At 41.4% G+C, this 18,871-nt stretch overlaps 1 protein-coding gene across 7 annotated transcripts in view, besides 1 other annotated feature; it reads right to left on the minus strand.

The window, feature by feature from the left end:
- GRIN2A (glutamate ionotropic receptor NMDA type subunit 2A) overlaps positions 1-18,871 on the minus strand; it is a 429,505-nt gene that overhangs the window by 203,209 nt on the left and 207,425 nt on the right. The window lies entirely within an intron of this gene.
- Positions 147-686: an enhancer, noted in NCBI's record as "NANOG hESC enhancer chr16:10050616-10051155 (GRCh37/hg19 assembly coordinates)". NCBI's record gives its function as "activates a minimal SCP1, AML or CMV promoter by ChIP-STARR-seq in naive H9 embryonic stem cells {active_cell/tissue: H9 hESC(naive)}" and the evidence as "EXISTENCE:reporter gene assay evidence [ECO:0000049][PMID:30033119]".

Consider the following 18,871-nt stretch of genomic DNA (forward strand, 5'->3'; position numbering starts at 1 on the left):
AAACCTGCGCTCAAAGAGCTTATGATCCAGATGGAAAAGACAAATATTAATTAAACAACTACACACGTGTAAAATTGCCATTGAAATTCACATTTTGTAAGAAAAGCTTATGGTGCATTAAGAATGCACAATGGGGGAAACAGAACAATTTAGATGGTTGAAGACTTCTCCAAACAGGAGATGCTGGAGTAGGGGTTATCTAGGCAAAGAGGAGAGGACAGAATGCCTCTTGCAAAGAAGGTGCTTCATATGCAAAGGTACCCAGATAGGAGGCAAGTGTGAGGGTCTTTAAGATAGCCATTGGGGTGAGGGTGAAAGAGACTGGTTCTCTGCTAATAAAATGTATTTGTATTCCTTTGTACCTAAAGAAGAGGCTATTACCTTCCTCTGACCTCTCAGTTGCCCAAGAATCTTTTCACAGTTTCTATCTAATCCCTTTCAATAATTCCCTGGCTGCTAATCAGAGAAAAGGTGTTAATTCCCTTATTAGCATACCTCTGCCTCTCTGTGATCACAAAATGCTCCTAACTTCCTCCACCCTGGGAATGCCCTTGGCTTTCACTCTGGCCCTGTGTGCTATCTCCCTAGGGCTTGTTCTCAGCCAGGGGGACCAGCCTGGCACTCATCTGGTGCCAGCCCCTAATTTTACTCAGGGAAGATTATTTAAGGGAGCTGCCCATGTTCAGGACACACACAGTGGATATAGGATTGAGCTCCAAACACAGGGCTGCTCTCACTGTGGGACACAGCCACTCCCTATCTCATGGACCACCCAAGGAAGAACAAGCTCTTTCACTTCTGCGAGCACTCTTCAGTATTTGGGTCCTGATACTGTGGTACCTTTAATAAACTTTTTTCATGCCTTCCCATGTGAAACCCCAATTCACTTTGAAAGACATTACCAGTAACAATATCACAATCCACAGTTGTTCTCTGCATGCACTGGGTGGCCAGAGTAGTGGAAATAAAGCAAATATAAAACCTAAGAGGCAGCTTCTAATAGGAAGGGAGATTACCCAAATGATGTCATCGCATCATAATTAGCAATAGGGCCAGAATTACCAACCACAGCAAAGCACGTCAAAATGGGGCTATCTCAACTCTTCCTTAATTGGGAAATTTAACAACCGAAAGATGCCCCTCGATGACTCTGAAGGGCTTGGTTTCTCGCATTTCCTGGACCTCTTTGAACCTCACCTGAGAACTCTTCTATAGACTTGGGCAGGTGAACATCACCTGGGCCTCTGCCTGTTGGTTTTCAGCAGGGTTTTCACATTGGTTGCCCCCATGAGCAACACTTGGCCACTGATATGAAGGGCTTCCCCAAAGAACACGGTTGGCTTGTTTTCCATGTTGATTGTGCATGCTTCTCTAGTCTTTCCTCTCAGTTATACCAGGAAAGAGAGATAGTGATAAACTGCTTTAGAATCACAGCTCTGCTATCTCCAAGCTGGGTGACTATGAGGAAGTTGCTTAGCTTCTCTGTGCCTGCCTTCTTCCTCCATAAATGAAGATAACTATAACTTCTGCATAAGCGACTGTGAGGATTAAAATTGGCAATTGATGTAAAAGCATCTGGCATGCAATTAACTTCCAATACATTTAGTTGTTATCATAATTGCCATTAATAACATCCAGCCTGACCTGAACTTACTACTAAATCCATCCTCCTTGAATGCTGACTTGCCACAAAGCCATGGCTCCCTCTTGCTGATGTGGGCAATGTTGGTCTTCTGAGATCATCTTTCTTGGCAAACCAGACCGTGAATTGCCAAATTTACTACTCCTCATGCCCATCAATGACCACACAGACACATGCACACACACACACAGGTTCAACCCCACTTCCATATCTTTAGCAATGGTCTCCTGGGGCTCTGTTCCCACGGATTTTATCTGGCACAGTATGTCTGAGGTGTGACCCAGAAATCCGTATTTTTAAGTAGATTCTGAAGCAAATAGTCTGCAAATTGGTACTAGGACAGACCCCATGGGATGGAAGCACTTTGCCAAAGTGAACTATCAGGAATTACAGAGAGCTGGGGAAAGAATGCTTGCTGTGTATTAGGTTTCAGTTGCATATATTCGTTTGCATACCAGATTGCAAGCAGAGGGCAGAAATTAGAACCTGAATAGCTTCATACCTTACCTCCACCTGTCTCCAAGCCACATATAGTATGTGCTAAATAAACACTAAAGCATAAACTGCCTTAACAGACTAGAAAATCGATACAAGCATGGGCTTGTTCACTGATACATCCCTTGTGCTGGCTGTACAGAAGGTGCCAGTGAATATTTGTTAGATAAATGAATTAATGAATAAATACAGAGGAGTTGGTAGGGAAAAGGCACAAAATGAGCAGAATTGGTGCTAATTTATGTTGAATCAGACAAATGTTCAGCTTATGCCCCAAATTTTTACAACCATCTCCCTTTTAAGTCACTGAACAACTGCTAGGAGCCTCTGAGCCATGCTACCCCAGAATACCCCAGAATACTCATTCCTATTCAAATATTTGGTTTTCAGTGTTACAAGGACAAGTATTCATTTGGACCAGAGAAATAGGCTGGATTTGCACTCATCTGTCACAGTGCCCTGAAATCAGCCTCAAATGATTCACAGCCCTCTTGAAAACATCTCCAATCTCCTAAGAGATAAAAAGCCTCACTCATTTTCCCACCCCTGACCCACCAACCAGCTTCCATCCCTAAACCTAGAGCGAAATTATGATGTTCTGTCTCCTCCTCCTATTTCTATTCCTCATGCCCTGCATGTCTCCCCATAGGAGCTCATAATAGGCTTGTAGGTTCCACCTGATTCTGAAAATCAAGTTATGGCACCGAGGTTTTGGAATCACTTCAATCTATTTGCAGAGTGAGCCTGGTTAGTATTTAAATATGCCACCCAAGCTACCGATGTGCAACGTATCAACTCTTCACCTGGGATGATTTATTCCAGGAGTCGCCGTTCTGACTTAGTACACAGGCTTTCCACTGTGCTAAAGCAAGGAGCCCAAAGAACTAGAGGGCTTGCCAATGGTTTTCTTGTGGTTTTATTCGTGTACTAATTAAAAACATTGGCCAGGCATGGCGGCTCACGCCTGTAATCCTAACACTTTGGGAGGCTGAGGTGGGTATATCACCTGAGGTCAGGAGTTCGAGACCAGCCTGGCCAACATGGTGAAACCCCATCTCTACTAAAAATACAAAAACTACCTGGGCGTGGTGGCGCATGCCTGTGATCCCAGCTACTCAGAGGATGAAGCAACAGAATCGCTTGAACCCGGGAGGCAGAGGTTGCATTGAGCCAAAATCGGGCCACTGCACTCCAGCCTCGGTGACAGAGCGAGATTTCATCTCAAAAAAACAAACAAAAACCATAGCACATACCAGCAAACCTAGAAACTCACTGAAACCACATAATTGAGCAATATTAAAGGCAGAGATGATGTGGCTTCCAGGTTGACACCCAACTATCTGGCCCAGGTAACAGATAGTAGAACCTAGTAGTAAAAAAGGAAAAAAATGAGCTTTGCATATAGGAGGGGCTCAATCAACAATGTCCCATAGTAGGTAATTCATAAATATCAGTTGAATAAATACTGAATGAACTAGATTGCAGACACAGAGTTTATAACAACCTAAGTAGAGATTACATGAAAAAGTTGGATATAATTTTGCATGTATACTTTTATCATAACCTTATTAAATAAACAGATAAAAAACTATACACAGAAAATAATGCAAAAAGATAATACACCCCAAAATACTAAGAGCGACTGTTCTTGGGTTGTAGCATATGGATGCCTTTACATTTTCTTGCTTCTGCTTTTCTGTATTTTTCAAATTTTCCATAATTAGCCTGTTTCTTTTATAAATGAAAAATTAACTGGAAAACGAGGCAGCCTAGGTAGGTAGGGAGAGCATATGCTGTGAAGTCAACCAGACTATCTTTTATTAATTGTATCACTTGTTCCTAACGTGTAATTTTTCTTTTTTATACACTTTATTTTTATTTATGTATTTATTTCAGACAAGGTCTGGCTCTGTTACCCAGGCTGGAGTGCAATGGCATGATCTCAGCTCCCTGCAACCTCTGCCTCCTGGGCTCAAACCATCCTCCCACCTCAACCTCCCAAGTAGCAGGGACTACAGGTGTGTTCCACCACACCTGGATAATTTTTGTATTTTTGGCAGAGATGAGGTTTTGCCAATGTCGTCCAGGCTAGTCTCAAACTCCTGGACTAAAGTGATCCTCCTGCCTCAGTCTCCCAAAGTGCTGGGATTACAGGCATGAGCCACCGCACCCAGCTGTAATTTTCTTAGTCTCAATTTCCTGAGTTATACACTTGAGCTAATAACATTTACCATTCAAGCGAGTTTGTTATTGTTGTTGTCATTTACGTGCAATTTAATGGATGTAAAATACTCAGCACTATAGTACTTGGTATATAGCAAGCATTCAATATATGTATGACTTTAGCACCCAAAAGACTATTAGAAAAGTACAGTACTTATTCACGTACTCGTTTACTTAATGGCTCTTTATTAAGCCTCAACCATGTACCAAGAACTACTATCTCACTGAAGCTGTGGTCCCGGAGGAAGACATTCCAAGTCTGAATCTCTGGTTACCACTCTGATGGAAATACGCAGCTACAACCCAATAGAAGGTCACATGCTCCAGACAGGGAACTCATCTAATGATATGGGGGTGCAGGGGTGGGGGATCACTAGGAGAGTGCAGGAGTAAAGAGGTTTCTACACTTATCCTAACGAATGAACCACAAAAGCATCATGCTGAAGCAAAAGAAGCCAGCCACAAAACAAAGGCATGCTATACAAGCCCATTTATAACAGAACAGAATGGAAATTTTATAAAAGTTCAAGAACAAGCAAAACTAATCTATGATGATTGAATTCAGAATAATGGTTATCTTGGGGTTGGTGAGAAGGGAGCAAATAAGAACTTCATAGGGAACTAGAAATGTTCTATATCTTTGCAATGTATCTATGTAATAAAACTGCACTTGCACCTCTTAAATTTAAACAAAATTTTTGAGATTTTTCGTGAAAACGGCCATACTGCCCAAGGTAATTTATAGATTCAATGCCATCCCCATCAAGCTACCAATGACTTTCTTCACAGAATTGGAAAAAACTACTTTAAAGTTCATATGGAACCAAAAAAGAGCCCACAATGCCAAGTTAATCCTCAGCCAAAAGAACAAAGCTGGAGGCATCACGCTACCTGACTTCAAACTATGCTACAAGGCTACAGTAACCAAAACAGCATGGTACTGGTACCAAAACAGAACAGAACAGAGCCCTCAGAAATAATACCACATATCTACAACTATCTGGTCTTTGACAAACCTGACAAAAAGAAGCAATGGGGAAAGGATTCCCTATTTAATAAATGGTGCTGGGAAAACTGCCTAGCCATATGTAGAAAGCTGAAACTGGATCCCTTCCTTACACCTTATACAAAAATTAATCCAAGATGGATTAAAGACTTATATGTTAGACCTAAAACGATAAAAACCCTAGAAGAAAACCTAGGCAATACCATTCAGGACATAGGCATGGTCAAGGACTTCATATCTAAAACACCAAAAGCAATGGCAACAAAAGCCAAAATTCACAAATGGGATCTAATTAAACTAAAGAGCTTCTGCACAGCAAAAGAAACCACCATCAGAGTGAACAGGCAACCTACAGAATGGGAGAAAATTTTCGCAACCTACTCATCTGACAAAGGGCTAATATCCAGAATCTACAATGAACTCAAACAAATTTACAAGAAAAAAACAAACAACCCCATCAAAAAGTGGGCAAAGGATATGAACAGACACTTCTCAAAACAAGACATTTATGCAGCCAAAAAACACATGAAAAAATGCTCATCATCACTGGCCATCAGAGAAATGCAAATCAAAACCACAATGAGATACCATCTCACACCAGTTAGAATGGCGATCATTAAAAAGTCAGGAAACAACAGGTGCTGGAGAGGATGTGGAGAAATAGGAACATTTTTACACTGTTGGTGGGACTGTAAACTAGTTCAACCATTGTGGAAGTCGGTGTGGAAATCGGTAGATTGCTCAGGGATCTAGAACTAGAAATACCATTTGACCCAGCCATCCCATTACTGAGTATATACCCAAAGGATTATAAATCATGCTGCCATAAAGACACATACACACGTATGTTTACTGCGGCACTATTCACAATAGCAAAGACTTGAAACCAACCCAAATGTCCAACAATGATAGACTGGTTTAAGAAAATGTGGCACATATACACCATGGAATACTATGCAGCCATAAAATAGGATGAGTTCATGTCCTTTGTAGGGGCATGGATGAAGCTGGAAACCATCACTCTCAGCAAACTATCGCAAGGACAAAAAACCAAACACCACATGTTCTCACTCATAGGTGGGAACTGAACAATGAGAACACACGGACACAGGAAAGGGAACATCACACATCGGGGACTGTTGTGGGGTGGGGGGCGGGGAGGGATAGCATTAGGAGATATACCTAATGCTAAATGACGAGTTAATGGGTGCAGCACACCAACATGGCACATGTATACATATGTAACAAACCTGCACATTGTGCACATGTACCCTAAAACTTAAAGTATAATAAAAAAAAATTTTACTCTAAGTTCCAGGATACATGTGTAGCATGTGCAGGTTTGTTACATAGGTATACACGTGCCATGGTGGTTGGCTGCCCCTATCAATCTGTCATCTATATTTTAAGCCCCGCATGCATTAGGTATTTGTCCTAATGCTCTCCCTCCTCTTGCCCCCCACCCCTGACAGGCCCCAGTGTGTGATGTTCCTCTCCCTATGTTCATGTATTCTCATTGTTCAACTTCCACTTATGAGTGAAAACATGTGGTGTTAAACAATTTTTTAAAAAATGTTCTGCATCTCGATCTGTGTGGTCACAATTGTATATATGTGTAAAAATTCATTGAGCTTTACACTTAAGATTCATGCATTATACTATATGTAAGCTATGCCTCCATAAAGTACCACTGAAACATAAACAAAAGGCTTTTAGATAATTACTACAGGTTTATTAACCTTCAGCCTCTGTATATTTATTGAGAATCTGCTATTCAATAATTCATCCATTCAACAGATATTTACTATATAGCTACTCTGTGCCAGGTACTATTCTAGGCACTGGAGTATAGCAATGATGGACAAACTCCCTGCCTCATGGGGCTTGCATTTTAGAGCTATGTGCCAGACATAGTGCCATGTCCTGGTGGAGGAGAGGAAGTGCTTGTGGTGCAGGAATGAAAGAACTCACAGTCTAGTGGACAGACAGACACAAAGTCACACCGCACCATGCAGTAAGTGCTGTGATAGGGCATGTGGTGTCTTGATGCACAGCAGGAAGGGGCCACGTGGGTTGATTGCAAATTTGGAGAGGGCTCCCAAGAAAACACAACACAGCCTGAGGATGAAGCAGCAGAGATTGCAGGTGACTCTTTGGAGGAGGCAACAGCATCCTTGAAGGCATGTGTGCAAAGGCACTGCCGCATGGACTTGAAGGGAATCGTCAAATATCCAAATGGAGTTTCATACCATGGAGCTTACATGAATTTACAGTACAAGTGTGGCCCTGGAACCAGTGACCCAATCCTGCATCTACCACTTGATAAATATGGGACCTTGCACAATTACTCAGCCTTGAATTCTTCTTCCTGAAAATGTGACCACTGTTAGTGCTTAATTGAGGTTCTTGTGACAATTTAATGGGATCAGCCATGGTGCGTTCATTTTCTATTGCTGCTATGACAAATTACCATCAACTTGGCGGGGGCTTAAATAATCCTCACTTATTGTCTTATACTTCTGTGGTTCTGAAATGTGAAATGGGTCTCGCTGGACTAAAATCAAGGTGTCAGCAGGATTGCTTTCCTTTCCGGAGGCCGTAGGGGAGAATCCACTTCCTTGACTTTTCCACCTTTCAGAGGCTGCCCACATTCCTCGGCTTATGACTCCTTCCTTCATCTTCAAGCCAGCACCACTGCATCTCTCTGACTCTTCCATCTTCACATCTTTCTCTGTCCACATCCTGGAAAAGCTCTTCACTTTTGAGGATTCACAGGATTAAGTTGGTCCCACCTTGCTAATCCAGGATCATCCGAATCTCAAGGTACTAAACCCTGAATCTCACAACTGCAAAGTCCCCTTTACACTATAAGCAACATATTCACAGCATGGACATCTTAGGGAAGCCATTATTCTTCCTATCACACGTGAAATTATTTAGCACAACGTCTGGCTTATAGTGTGTGCTTAATAATTGTCAGGAACTATATTACTATTATTAAATGTGATTCAAGAGTATGAGAAGGAAATGCCAAATCCTCTGGACCAATAAGCATGCAAATATAAACCAAGTTAGGTGTAAATCCTGGGAATACTCAGGTCTCAGGGAACTACTCCAAATGATGTACAAACCTAGAGTTTCCATTTAGGCAAAAGGTTCTAATAAAGTAAGACTTCTTCACTAAATACTATCAGTTGCATACTCACACGCTGGCAGAACAAAGACTGCAGGGTGTTTCAGCATCTCCATACCAACAGCTAGAACAGATTCCTCTCCTAACCCTCTGTGCCGTATCAACCAGCTGGTCTAGTCTGACTCACAAATGGCTACAGCCTGGTGGTAAACGGAACTTTGTTAACCATTTGCAAAAAATTCCAGGCAACTGGGGAGATGGAACAAAAATGCCCCCCAAAGCTGCCTCAATATCATTAAAAGTTGGGCAGTGAGGAAGCCAGGAAATAGAACACAAAGCATGTTGGGCTGAGCTATAGAATAAGAGACTTTTGGGATAGTGAACAAACTCTACCTCCCCTATTTTAAGCAGAAATCACAACCGATTTTGATTCCACTTAATAATTTCCTCGACACTTGAAGAGATGGCAGGCTCCATGAGAGCAAGGATCCTGCCAGGAAGCCAACAGTCCATCTCTGATGTCCAGTCCATGTCTAGCACACAGCTGAGACCCAATAAAATAAAATGTGTGGAATTAAGGAATAAATGAATGGAGAGGAAATCACCCAGGATCACAATCAAGGGTGATATTTACATTCTAAAGCAGGGGTTGACAATCCATGGCTTGTGGACCAAATCCTCCCCACAGCCTCTTTTATATAGCCCCAAAACACAGCCAAGCCCTTTCCTGTATTGTCTGTGGCTGCCTTTGTGCTATAGCAGCAGAATGTGTGGCCTCTTGGTTTGCCAAGCCTAAAATATTGACTATCTGGGCTTTTAAATAAAACACTTGCCAATTGCTGCTTTACAATACTTTCTGGTAGCTTATCAAAATAATCTTGGGATCTTTTAAATATGCAGCACCTTAAGCCCAGAATCTGAATTTTAACTAGTTTCCCAAGGTTCGAGAATCCTTGCACTTATAGAGAATTGATCTGATTTGACAAGCACGAGGGCAGGGTTCTCAACTTTTCTTTTACTTTTAAGTTCAAGGATACACATGCAGATTTGTTACACAGGTAAACTTGTGCCATGGGGGTTTGTTGTACAGGTTATTTCATCACCCAGGTATTAAGCCTAGTGCCTATTAGTTACTTTCCCGACTCTCTTCCTCCTCCCACCCTCCACCCTCTGCAAGGCCCCATTGTGTGTTTTTCCACTCTATGTGTCCATGTGTTCTCATCATTTAGCTCCCACTTTTAAGTAATAATATATGATATTTGGTTATCTGTTCCTGTGTTAGTTTCCTAAGGATAATGGCCTCCAGCTCCATCCATGTCCCTGCACAGGACATGATCTCATCCTTTTCTTATGGCTGCATAGTATTCTGTGGAGTATGTGTACCACATTTTCTTGATCCACTCTATCACTGATGGGCAAATATTTAGGTTGATTCCATATGTTTGCTATTGTGAACAGTCCTGCAAGAACATACACATGCCCGTGTCCTTATAATAGAACGATCTATATTCCTTTCGGTATATACCTGGAAACGGGATTGCTGGGTTGAATATTTCTGTCTTTAGGTCTTCGAGAAATTGCCACATTGTCTTCCACAACAGCTGCACTAATCTACACTCCCACCAACAGTGTATAAGCCTCGATCAGAATCACCCAAAAGGCTTGTTAAAACACAGACTGACAATCCCTGCCCCTCACTTTCTGATTCAGTAGGATGCATATGGGCCTGAGAATGTGCATATTTTGGCCCTATCTCAAGTGATAGTGATGATGCTGGTCCAGAAACCACACTTTGAGAACCACAGCACAAAGGTTACCCAGTGCCCTTCCTTGTTTAATAGTGACTCATTTTCCACACTTCAGCCTTCAGCAGTAGTGAAACATGAGTCACTGTTAAGTTCTCACGATGAAATTCTCACTATTAGTTCAGCACTATTAAGTGACTCATGTTCGACACTTCAGTGGTAGATTCTGTGTTCAGCAGGTCCCACATTTTGAAATTTGGGGTGAATTCTTCCTGCGACTCTGTGGTAATAAAGAATATGAATTATGCTTACAATTGCAAAGATATGGAACAAACCTAAGTGCCCATCAGCCAATGAGTGGATCAAGAAAATGTGGTAGATATACACCACGGAATACTATTCAGTCATAAAAAGGAACAAAATGATGTCTTGCAGCAACTTAGATGAAGCTGGAAGCCATTATTCGAAGCGAAGTAACTCGGGAATGGAAAACCAAATATCGTTATGTTCTCACTTATAAGTGGGAGCTAAGCTATGACGATGCAAAGGTATAAGAATGATACAATGGGCCGGGCACAGTGACTCACGCCTGTAATCCCCGCACTTTGGGAGGCCAAGGCGGGTGGATCACTTGAGGTCAGGAGTTTGAGACCAGCCTGGCTAACGTGGCGAAACCCGTGTCTACTAAAAATACAAAAATTAGCCGGGCGTGCTGGCGTGCGCCTGTAGTCTCAGCTACTTGGGGAGGCTGAGGCAGTAGAATCGCTTGAACCTGGAAGGTGGAGGTTTCAGTGAGCCAAGATCGCACCATTGCACTGCATCCTGGGCGACAGAGCGAGACTCCATCTCAAAAAAAAAATTACATAATGGACTTTGGGGACTTAGGGGTAGGGAAAGTTTGGGAGGGGGTGAGGGATAAAAGACTACAATAGTTAGTAGTCTTAGGTGATGGGTGCACCAAAATCTCAGAAATGACCACTAAACAACTTATCCCTGTAACCAAAAGCACCTGTACCCCAAAAACTATTGAAATAGAAATTAAAAAAATTTTAAAACAGTATGAATTATTAATGCATTAGGAGGCAAAGACAGTGAAATGTCAGAAAGAAAGACACTTATGACTGCGGTTGGAATTCATACAGTGTTTCATTATTTCCAAAGGTAGTCCCCATCTATTATCTCACGTAAACCTCCAGACAACCCAGTGGGTAGGCGTTATTATTGCAACGTGATTCTTACTCCCATTTTGCAGGAAAAAAGGAGGAGGCTGAAAGAGGTTGAAAATAGATACAAGTTAATCTCCCCGACACTCCCCCTATCCATTCAATGACAATCTCTCTAGGCTTTGTATTGCTTCCTTCCTTCTTCTCTCCCCTGCATCTATCATTTCTTTGCCTCTATTGACTTGTATGTATGTATGTATGTATGTATGTATGTATGTATGTATGTATACATGTACGTATGTATGTATTTAGAGATGGAGTTTCGCTCTTATTACCCAGGCTGGAGTGCAATGGTACGATCTTGGCTCACTGCAACTTCCGCCTCCCGGGTTCAAGCAATTCTCCTGCCTCAGCCTCCCAAGTAGCTGGAATTACAGGCATGCGCCACCACACCTGGCTAATTTTGTATTTTTAGTAGATTTGGGGTTTCACCATGTTGGCCAGGATGGTCTCGAACTCCTGACCTCAGGTGATCCACCCACCTCGGCCTCCCAAAGTGCTGGAATTACAGGCATGAGCCACCATACCTGGTCGTATTTATTTTTTTGACAGAGTTTTGCTCTTGTTACCCAGGCGGGAGTGCGGTGGCGTGATCTCGGCTCACTGCAACCCCTGACTCCCGGGTTCAAGAGAGTCTCCTGCTTCAGTCTCCCAAGTAGCTGGGATTATAGGTGGGCACCACCACACCCAGCTAATTTTGTAATTTTAGTAGAGATGGGGTTTCTCCATGTTGGTCAGGCTGGTCTCAAACTCCCAACCTCAGGTGATCCGCCCGCCTCAGCCTTCCAAAGTGCTGGTAATTACAGGTGTGAGCCACTGCGCCCTGCCCTCAAACCACATATATTAAAGTAAAAAGAAAAAGTTGAAATTAATATTAATAATGTATCTTATTCAACTCACTATATTATCATTTTAATGTGCAATCAATATAAAAATTATTATTAATGAGATATTTCACATTCTTTTTTTTCACAGCAAGTCTGAAATTCAGAGTGAATTTAACACATATAGCACATTTCAGGTCACACTAGCCACACTTCAAATGCTCAGTAGACACAGGGAGTCAATGGCCATCCTGTTGCACAAAACAGGTTTCTGTGGTCAAGGTGATCTCCTCGTCCCATGGTCCTTTTTTGAACTTGGTGTTACCGAATCTTTCCTCTACTGACATCACCTCCCTTTTCTCCTTGACACACTCTCCTCCATTGCTGCCTGAAACATCTTTTTCTCCTTGTCCTTCTCTTATATCCCCCTATCATTCCTTCTTAGATGCACACTTTCTTCACTCGCCACTTAATGAGTTAGTGTTCCCCAAGGCTCTGTGTTGCATCCATTGTTCCTCACTGGGTACATCATTTACTTGGACATTTTATCCATCCTTCATGGTTTTAAATATATGCCAATGCCTTCCAAATCCAGATCATTCCACTGGGCTTTGATATTTAAAGAACTGGATGTTCATGGTGCCCCATAAGCCAGTTAAGCTCAGCAGACTCTAAAACTGACCTTGTCATCCACCACCCAAACTTACTCAGTGATACCTCAATCCACAGCCATCCAGATACCCTAGACCAGTGGTTCTCAACATGCAATGACTGTGCTCCACCAGGGGATATTTCGCTATGCCTGGAGATGCATTTAGCTGTCACAGCTAGGAGGCAGGGTATGACTGGCACCCAGTGGGTAAAGACCAGGGTTGCTGCTAAACATCCTACAATGCACAGGAAAGCTCCCTATTCACAAATAATTATCTAGCCCAAAATGTCAAGAATTCCACTGCTGAACAACTCTGCCTTAAAGCCTTAGCTGCATCAGCAGCTCACAGGAGACTCACAGGCACGCCTACTCCCGCACGCCATCTTAGACCTACTGAATTAGAATTCTCTGAAGTGGGGCCTGGGGTTGGTGTTTTAACACACTCTCCGTGTGAATCTTATACACACTACAGTTCAAGAATCACACTCTAGGTAGAGCCAACCTTGACGTCAAAGAAATCTCGAGTTCTTGTTCTGCACCAAGCATTGGGATCCCTAATACAGAAAAAAGCAGCTCAAATTCAATGTTTGAGTAAGCACTTGACTTCAGCCTTCAGGATACAACCTGCTAGGCCTCCAGGTGAATAATTTAACTTGTTTTCTCTTTATTAGCACTATTCCAGAAAAAAATTGACCTGTAAGGTTCATAGTCCAAAGCAACAAGTCTTTAATGTACAATCCTTTTCTTAGCCCTGGAGCTTGGAGATTATTTCTTCAAGTTTAAAGCTAGGAAATAGAGCAGTGTTTTGGTGCATTGCCCACTAGAGAGACTGGAGTAGAGACCAATGCAGGAAAATCCTGAAACCTTTTCATCTTATTAAGCTCAGTTTATATTTTAAAACATATGAAAGAAAGTGCTTTTGAGATATGGAGATAAAGATACGATAGATCTGCTAAGGAAAAGAGGCCTTGAGGATTGTTTAGATTCACTTGGCTGCTGGAGGGCCCTAGAAAGAAGTAAATTAGAGGGGAAATAAATCTGGAATCGAGTTCTTGCTCTGCCTTAACTGACTGTGAATTTAAAAAAAATCATTTTGGTTCAAGAAATATGTATTAAGGATCTCTGATGAGCTAGACACAAAGTTAGGTACTGAAGATAAAATAAATAAAGCAGGCAGAGTCCCCTACCTTAAGAAAATTACAGGCTGGTAAACTCTCAACAGGAGAAATATTGGATATATCAAATATAGTTCCTTCCCCTGAGAAACGCAGACTGGTTGGTGAGACAGACAAATAGATTTTATGATTTCAGAACAATGTAGTAAATGTTAAAGTATTACAGAATGCTATGGAATAATGGAGAGATGAGAGGCTTATTCACCCTGGGAAATAAAGGAAGCCTTTCTGGAGAAGACAAAGAGTTGTGTAGATAGTCATTTGAGAGGCAAGACTGGGGGGAAGGGGAGAGGCTAGAAGGCTATTTCAGGAATTCTATAAAGAGATGATCAAGGCATGAACAAAGGCTATGGGTGACAAATAAGAGCAGACAGTATGAGGTGGGGTGAATTAAGGATGCCCACACTGTTTTCTGTTATTCTTCCCATTGACAGGTGGATTGCTTTATTCTCCTCTTGAATCTGACCAGCACAGTGACTATGTGACCAATAGAAAAGCCTAATTTTCAGTAAAACAGAAGCTTCCACTTCTTCCCTGATATAACAATTTCCCTTGGGTATGTCAACTCAAAACTCAACCACCATGCTTTGTGAAATCCAAGCCACATAAAAAGGTTACATTAGGCAGTGAGCTACGCCCCCAAGCCAATAGCCAGCTCCATCCACTTAGCCATGTCATGAGCCATCTCATACATTTCAGCCCAACTGTGCTCTCAGGGAACTGTAGCCTCAGCTGTTATTACATGCAGCAGAAAAACCACCTAGTAGAGCCCAGTCAACCCACAGAACTGTGACTGACAATAAAATGATTCTTGTTTCTAGCTCCTGTATCTTGTAGCAAGAATATATAAGAATGTAAAACTGCCAATGTCGGGTAAGAAAATGAGATGGCTGAAGATGATGACATGTCAGTCTAACTTTACCATAAAAATTATCTGATCTAGTTTATCTGAAAAATAGTTCCAGCAGTGTAGAAGTTTAAGAAAACAGCAGAAGATAGCCAGAGTTCTGCTTCTGGTATGGTAGGAAATCTCTTAACAGATTCCCTCCCACACCCAAACAGGTAAAAAATTAAAGCTAGAAGGAAAAAAAAAATATACCTGAAGGCTCTGTAGAGTAAAAATAGCCAGTAGATTTCACAGGGACATTGAAACATGGAAGAAGGGCTCATCATAGAGTTCTACATTTTTGCCACCTAGGTCTGACAGCATGCTGCTGTCCCAAAATGGCACCGGGTGGCTCAACATCTAGTGGAAGAGCCAACCTCTTTCTGGCCTGAGGAGGTGGAAGTTAGAGACCTGGAAGTCCACGGCCAGCAGAATATAAAAACCCCAGAAAGAGGAGACTTAGAGAAGGGAATTCTTGGCATGTATATGTAAACTCTGCCCAAGCCTCTGGCCAGTCCTTGAACAAAGGGTGAGTAGACAAGGCTCAAAGTAGTTTGCATTTAAACCCAACAGGACTGAGAACTAAGCCTCCACCTGAGAGACAGATATGGAAATGTAAGTATAACCAGGTTAGTTACCTGCTAAGACACAAATATGAATACTCTTTAAGGAAATATAACCCACAATATAGCATTCACAAAGTGCTAGTACAATTCAAAATTACTTTACATATAAGAAGTAGGGAAATCTGACCCATTCTCAAGCAAAAAAGACTTACTTTACATATAAGAAATAGGGAAATCTGACCCATTCTCAAGGAAAGAAGACAATCAACAGAGGCCAATCCCAATATGATCCAGGTGTTAAAGCAGCTATTCTAACAATACACTTAATGAGGTAAAGGAAAATATGCTCATCACAAAGAAAAAGGTAGGAAGCCTCAGAAGAGGAAAATAAAAAAAAGAACATTTAGAAATGAAAAACAAAATATCTGAAATAAAGAATTTACTGGATAGAACTAACATGAGAATGAAGATGACATAGGCAGGAGTCAGAGAGCTTGAAGATAGATCAATAGAAATGACTTAAGCAGAGGGGCTTTTATAAATTGACAGAGTGAGATCTAACATACATGTGATTAAAGTGTAACCACCCAAGATCACCTTGCCACTGTCTAGACAGAGCCGATTTATCAAGACAGGGGAATTGCAATAGAGAAAGAGTAATTCACACACAGCCAGCTGTGCAGGAGACCAGAGTTTTATTATGACTCAAAATCAGTTTCCCCAAGAATACAGGGATCAGAGTTTTTAAGGATAATTTGGTGGGTAGAGGGCCAGTGATTCAGGAGTTCTGATTGGCTGTCTGGAGATGAAATCACAGGGCGTTAAAATTGTCCTCCTGCTGTGAGTCCGTTCCTGGGTGGGGGCCACAAGGCCAGATGAGCCAGTTTATCAATCTGGGTGGTGCTAACTGATCCATCAGATGAAGGGTCTGCAAAATATCTCAAGTACCGATCTTAGGTTTTACAATAGTGATGTTATCCCCAGGAGCAATTTGGGGAGGTTTAGAGTCTTGCAGCCTTCAACTGCATGACTCCTAAACCATAATTTCTCATCCTCTGGCTTTAGGCAATCCCCAGGCAGGAAGGGTGTTTGTTTTGGGAAAGGGCTAATATCTCTTTGTTTCAAAGTTAAACTATAAACTAAGTTTCTCTGAAGGTTATTTTGGCCTACACCTCCGCCCAGGAAAAACAAGGACAACTTGGAGGTTAGAAGCAAGATGAAGTCACTTAAGTCAGATCTCTTTCACTGCCATGATTTCTCAGTTATAATTTTTGCAAAGGTGGTTTCAAAAGTTCCTACAAGAAAGAGAATGGAGAAGGGGAAAAAATATTGAAGAATAATGGCCAAAAAGAAATTTGGTGAAAGACATAAACTTACAAATTCAAGAAACTCAAAGAACCCCAAATAGGACAAATGTGGAGAAAACCATGCTAGGCACATCACAGTCAAACTGATGAAAATCAAAAGAAAGAAAATCTCAAAATTAGCAAGAGAAAAATAGCACATTATATATAGAGAACAATGATTCAAATTTTTCACAGACTTAAGATTAGAAACTACAGAGTCCAGAAGACAGTGGAATAATGTCTTTATAAGTGCTGGGGGGAAAAAAAACAAATTCTATAATTAGTGAAAATGCCCTTCAAGAATGAAAAAGAATTAAAGACTTTTCAGATAAAATAAAACTAAGAGAATTCATTTCCAGCAGACCAGCCCTTCAAGAAATGCTAAAGGAAGTTATTCAAGCTGATACAAGAGAAAATAATACCAGAAGAAAACTCTAATTCCTTCAGGAATTAATGAAGAGCATTAGAAGCATAAATATCTGGATAAGCATAAAAGACTCTTCTTTTAATTAAAAAAATACATATGCATGTGACTATTTAAAGCACAAATCCTTACATTGCCTCTTAGGGTATTAATGTACAGATGCAATGCATATAACACTATAGCATACAGGATGGTGAGGGTGGAAGAAGAGAGACAGGCCCTCTCACATTGTTTTATACGGTTTTATACTCAGAAAAAGAAAGAGAAGCGAAACTAAAGGCAGTTAGCCTGGTGCCTAGGAACCAGACCCAAAACCAAGGAACCAGACCCGAAATCAGGCCTGGGCCTGCCTGACCTAAGCCTGGTAGTTAAAGATCGACCCCTGACCTAACCGGTTATGTTATCTATAGATTCCAGACATTGTATGGAAAAGCACTGTGAAAATCCCTGTCCTGTTCTGTTTCGTTCTGATTACCGGTGCATGCAGCCCCCAGTCACATACTCCCTGCTTGCTCAATCGATCACGACCCTCTCACGTGGACCCCCTTAGAGTTGTGAGCCCTTAAAAGGGACAGGAATTGCTCAGTCGGGGAGCTCAACTCTTGAGACAGGAGTCTTGCCGATGCTCGCGGCCGAATAAACCTCTTCCTTCTTTAACTCCGTGTCTGAGGAGTTTTGTCTGCGGCTCGTCCTGCTACAAGGGGAATGAGTAGGCCCTATACTGAAAAGTTTCTACATTGTATGTGAAGCAATGCAATACCAACCCTAAGTAGCCTGTGAAAAGCTAAAGATGTTTCATGTGATCCCTAGAGCAATCACTTTAAAAATGCAAATAGAGATAATTTCACTTCTTCCTTTCCAATTTGGAAGCCTTTTATTTCTTTTTCTGGCCTAATTGCTCTGGCTAGGACTTCCAGTACTATGCTGAATAGAAGTGGTGAGATTGAACATCTTTGTCTTGTTCCTGATCATAGAGGAAAAGCTCTCAATTTTCACCACTGAGTATGGTGTTTGTTGTGGGCTTGTTGTATTTGACCTTTATTGGATATACTTCTATCATGAAAACACTCAGAAAACTGGTTATAGAAGGAAATAGTTTAAATTTTATAGGAATTAAAGTATTAAAATTTTTAAATAATTTTCTGCATCTATTAAGATAATTCTGCATCTATTGAGATGAGAGGTATAGATTAAAAGCCAATAAATAAGTTAAAACAAAGTGTGTAAATACTCTAAAAATCCATAAAAAGGCAGATATAATGGGCAAAATGGATCCCCCAAAGATGTCCACACCTTTAACCCTGGAACCTCTGAATGTGTTATGTTACATGAAAAAAGTGATTATGGACCTAAAAACGGAGAGATTATCCTGGTTTATTCCATGGATCCTACTCACAAGTCCCCTGAAAAACAGAGAACTTTCTCCAGCTGGAGTCAGAGAAGTAGCAGAGAAGAAGTCAGAGAGACTCAAAGTGTCAGAAGATCTTCATTCACCATTGCTGGAGGAGCTACATGGAAAGCATGAGAAAGA

This window comes from Homo sapiens, chromosome 16 (assembly GCF_000001405.40).
Source record: "Homo sapiens chromosome 16, GRCh38.p14 Primary Assembly".
Taxonomy (NCBI): domain Eukaryota; kingdom Metazoa; phylum Chordata; class Mammalia; order Primates; family Hominidae; genus Homo; species Homo sapiens.